Here is a 5,265-nt window from a genome sequence, read left to right on the forward strand (position 1 = left end):
TCTTGAAACATCAGGCTGTGGTCTCTAGGTTCCTTTGAGGATGGATGGTGGTATGACTTGGCTATGTCTCTATCCAAATCTCATCTTGAATGGTAGCTCCTATAATTCCCACATGTTGTGGGAGGAACCCGGTGGGAGATCCTTGAATCATGGGGCAGTTTCCTCCATACTGTTCTTAGTGAATAAGTCTCACAAGATCTGATGATTTTATAAGGGGAAATCCCTTTTGCTTGGTTTTTCTCATTCTCTCTTGCCACTGCCATGTAAGAACTTGCCACTGCCATGTAAGTTCTCTTGCCACTGCCATGGAAGTTCTTGCCACTGCCATATAAGAACAGTTTTTCTCCTTCTGCTATGATTGTGAGGCCTCCCCAGCCATGTGGAGCCTCTTTTTCTTTATAATTTACCCAGCCTCAGGTATGTCTTTATCAGCAGCATGAAAACAGACTAATACAGATGGTGAGTTCATTCAGCTCTGTGTGGATTCATTCAACCACCACGTAAACCTGTATTGAACACATACTATGTGCCAGGAAGTCCACTGGGCTCTGAGGACACAATGGTAGTAGAAATAAAAAATGCTTCTGCTTTCATGGAACTTACAGTATGATGTGGGAGATGATCAAAAAGCAAAAGACAACCATTTTCATAAATAAGAAGACAGGGTATAAGGAGGGAGAATAATGGGGAACACCTTCTGAACTCCGGGGGTGGTTCAGAGATGGCCTTACAGAAAGCGGGAAAAGAGCATCCAGGCTGAGGGAATAGCATGTGTGGAGGGGGCCAGAGGAGAAAGGAGCTAATCAGGGCAGGAGCCTAAAGTACAGGGAGCAAGGGGCAGTGAGGCCAGAGGGATTGATAGAATGGTAGGCAGGTCAAGTGGGGCCTGTCAGGGTTTGGATTTTAATTTTAATTTAATTTAATTTCAACTGGGACATCCATCTTTGTACCTGATGAGGCTCTCTTCCCAGCAATGTCCAAGTTGAACATTCTAAAAGTTTTAGGTTAAGGTAGTATCTTTGCATCACCTACACTGTCCCCAAGCTCTCAGGACGAGACAGCATATTTGGGAAATGCCTGGGGAGTAGGGTCACACTAAACACAAACATTTTTGTCTTAAGAGGGCTCACCACCTTGGACCACATCCCTCCAAACCACTGGGAAGCTTTGTAAACATACAGATGGATGCCTGGGCTCCACCTCAGGCCCTCTGCATCAGAATCTTGGCGGGGTGGGTGTGGGTAAATTCAAGCCCTAGATGTGCCTTTAATGCCTTACAAAGTTCCAACTTGCCTCTTCAGGCTCATAAAATCTCCATCATACCAAACATGGAGCCCAAAGAGAATGGCTTTCCCTTTGTTGATAATGACTCAACCAAAGCATTCCTCCCCTGCTTCGTTTACCTGCCGTGGGCCTCTTAGCAAAGCACACCTGTCCATCTGTCAATATTTACTCTGTCTGCTGCCCTCAACAAAAGAAGGGAAAATTGTTTTCACTGTCAAGCTAGTGTTTATACAAAGGATTTGTAGACTTTCTCAGAGCTATGAAAAATCCATCACCCTCAGTTAACCTGTGCCCTTAATGAGGTGGTAGCTTTTCTCCCACCATCCCATCCATCAGGGATGACAGTATGTAGCTTGTCAACCAGTAAGCATTCAGGTTGAAAATGATTTCACCCAGAAACCTGGGGAGACAGATGCGTGAAGTGTAACCCAATCTCACAGGGTGAAGCCTGCCCTGCTGATTACAGAGGACAGCCTCAGTGGGGCTTCATCTAGGACCCAATGAGAGGAGATCCACAAATGCCAAGACACTTATAAGAAGCCAATATTCTTTGGCACTCAGAAAGCTTATCAGCCCATTACATCTGCTCCAATCAATACTTCACCCAGTGTAACTTCCAAGGGAGGGCTCTACTGCTGTTGAGTCAAAAGAAATTGAGATTCATGTTGCTGGAACCAAGCAATGCTCAGAGACATGCACTCCTGAGAGGTGGCTGGGCTCACTCCCAAGGAGAACAATATTCACCAATGAAACAACTGCCTGGCTCCAACGGGCTTTTGACATCCAAGCCACCTGGGACAGACACACTGAAAAGCCATTTGCAGGATACAGGAGGAAAAACAGATCCGATCACTGCCTTTGTCATTCAGAAGAGCCCTTGAGGTTTATGGACCAATCCAAGGGGCAAAAAACAAACCATATCTGTGAAAGAGCTTCAGGGCCCACATACACTCTGCTGGAAGTGCAGCCCAGACCTGCTGCCCCAGTTCCTACTGTGTGCCCACTGCTAAGCTGGGCACTAAGAAGTAAACCAAATGATCTGTGTGATTCACAGAGCATCTGAAGCAGCCTCCAGAGGGGCTCAAACTCATCTCAAAATGCATGGAAGAATCTGGGGGATCCTGGCTCTCCATGGGGGGCAAAATAAATAATATTAACAGATATGTCATTTACTATGTACCTTACTGTATGCCAGGAAAAGATTGATAAATTTTAACTCATTGAATTAAAACTCAATCCAACTCTCTGGGATAAGTCCTGTTATCTTTAGAAAGGGGACAAAACTAGGACCCACCCAAGCAGAGTGTTCTGAGATGGAATCTCAATAAAATAGTATCTAGAATGTGCTTAGAATAGTCCTAGCATGTTTAGGCCCTCAGGAAGTGTTAGACACTTTTTATTATGATGATTATTACGGCTACTACTACTTTTATTAGTCTCATTTTACAGCTGAGAAAACTGAGGCTTGGAGAGGTTATGGGATTAGCTGAAGGTCACATTGGCAATGAGCAAAAGCCAGCATCAAAAGCTAGGTCTTCCAGCTCTGGAGAGTGACGTCTTCTCTGTCAGGCTGTAAAAGACCTGCTCTGCTCGAACTGTGGGTGGGGTGTGAGGACCTCACTTCCTTCAGAAAGAATCTGGGGCCAGCACAGGATCTATTCCTGGGTACCTCGGTCGTGGTGTACTGCCGCCCTCGTACTGTTCGCATCCACCTCCCACACGGACTGGGCCGCACTTGGTAAGCTGCCCCAGCTCTCCTGCTCCCTGGAAACAGGCAGCCCTGCTCTGGGCACTGGTGCATCCCAGGACCTGTTCTCCAGGCCACTCCCGGGGTGGCTGCAGTGTAAGACCCCACACCTCCTCCCCTGGAGGCCCTTTGCCAGGGATGCAGGGGAAACAGGACTCCTCACCTCTGAACCTTGGTTCTCTCCCTTCCTAAGCCTCTTGAGCTGGCTGGGCCCCCCAGAGAGGAACAAGTTCCTTTGTGAGGGGAACTGACTCAGGTCTCTTATCACCAACTCCCCAGAGAGTATGAGGCTGGTATATTGTTTTTCTTCTTGCTGCCACAACAAATTCCCATGTACTTTGTGGCTTAGAAGGACAAAAATTACTGTTAACATTTCTGGATGCCAGGAGTCAAAAATGAATCATACAGGGCTAAAGTCAAGGTGTTGGCAGAGCTGGTTCCTTCTGGATGCTCCAGGGGAGAATCCGTTCCTTGCCTCTTTTAGCTTCTAGAGGCCGCCTGCATTCTGTGGCTCGTGGCCACATCACACCAATCTCTGCTTCCTGTCCCACCTCCTCTGACTCTGATCCTCTCACCTTCCTCTTCTAGGGACCTTGTGATTGCAATAGACCCACATAGATAATACAGAACGATCTCCACATCTCAGGATTACTAGCTTTATCACATTTGCAAAGCCTCTTTTACCATGTAAGGGAACATGTTTGCAGGTTTTGAGGATTATAATGTGGACATCTTTGAGGGCCATGATTCAGACTAGCACAACTGGATTTCTTCAACAAGCTTTGACTGCACTCCAGCCAGACCCAGGCACTGTGCTGGGCACTAGGCGCTCTGTTCAAGGCCTCCAAAACAGCTAGATGTGTTGATGTGAGTGCCCGCATGTTCATAGCTTCTTGGAGGTACAGATTACTTCTTGTTTGACTCCCTCCTTTGTGCCAAGCACATCCTAATAGCTAATACTTATTATATGCCAGGCTTCATCTAGAACACCATAAATCTATTATAAGCATTGATGCTCCCAAGAACACTACGAGTAGGTACTATTATCCCTCCACAGATGGGGAAATCAGGGATCTGGGGCATCTTAACTTTCCTAAGTCCTGCAGCTAGTGAGGAAGGGCCATGATTGAAGCCTGGTCAGTCTTACCCCTGAGTCTCTGCCTATAACCACTGTTCCACCTGGCATCTCAAATAGCAGCTCTCAAAAAGCACCTATGGAAAGGAGGAAACGGAAGACATAGGAAGCTAGAACTACACGTGCAGGGTCTGAGCTCTTGAGTGTCATAAATGAGTGGCCTTTTCATGAAAGGGAGGCTAGAAAGAGAACCTAGAAAGGAGGGGGTCCCAGAGCTTCTAGGTAGGCTCTGCCAGGTACACACCCCATGGGCTTAGAGGAGGGCTGGAATCTCAGGAGGCTCCACATGAAGTCATACATATTTGATTAAAGGTGGCCCCCAACTCCTGGGTGCAACCTGGGGAAAGGAGCATATCTGCTTTTCCTGACCGTCTTCTATTTCAGGACTAGCACAGTCCCCACTCACAGTAGAGGTTTGATTAATAAATTTTGATTCTATGAAATGACTTAGAAGTGCACTGAATACACATTCTGACCCAATCCTGAATAGGCAAATGTTAAAAGACAAGAATCAACCAAAGCCAAGGTCAGAGCAGACCATGAGCATCACAGAGGAAATCTGGGATGATCCTAGTCTGTTTCCCCAGAAAGTAGGGCCTGAATCAGAGGATTGATAAGAATTACATCACTCCATAGGGACCATCCCTGGGTACAGGGGTGAAGACAAGGGCAAAGAGGTAAGGAAGGAGGGGGCATTAGCTTTCCATTGCTGTGTAACAAATTACCCCCAAACTCAGTGGCTTAAAACAGCAAGCATTTAACCAAACCCAGTGGCTTAAAAAAACAAGTTTTGAGGGGCAGGAACCCGGGCGGCTGGGTTGGGGGTCTATGCTTCAGAATCTCTCATGAAGAGTCAGGCTATGGGCTGAAGCTCCCACATTTCCAAGCCCCTAATGGGACTGCTGTCAGGAAGCTTCTGTCCCCTGCTTGCATGGGCCTCACATGACATAGCAGCTGGCCTCTGCCAGAGCAAGTGATGGGAAAGAGGAATTCGAGAGAGTGTGTATTAGTGTGCTTGGGCTGCCATAACAAAGTACTACAGACTGTGTGGTTTAAACAACAGAAGTTTGTTTTCTCACCATTCTGGAGGCTACAAGTC

At 47.0% G+C, this 5,265-nt stretch overlaps 1 annotated feature.

Moving 5' to 3' along the window:
* Positions 1,847-2,348: an enhancer, noted in NCBI's record as "OCT4-NANOG hESC enhancer chr12:106254933-106255434 (GRCh37/hg19 assembly coordinates)". NCBI's record gives its function as "activates a minimal SCP1, AML or CMV promoter by ChIP-STARR-seq in naive H9 embryonic stem cells {active_cell/tissue: H9 hESC(naive)}" and the evidence as "EXISTENCE:reporter gene assay evidence [ECO:0000049][PMID:30033119]".

The sequence above is a fragment of the Homo sapiens genome, chromosome 12, assembly GCF_000001405.40.
Source record: "Homo sapiens chromosome 12, GRCh38.p14 Primary Assembly".
Taxonomy (NCBI): Eukaryota; Metazoa; Chordata; class Mammalia; order Primates; family Hominidae; genus Homo; species Homo sapiens.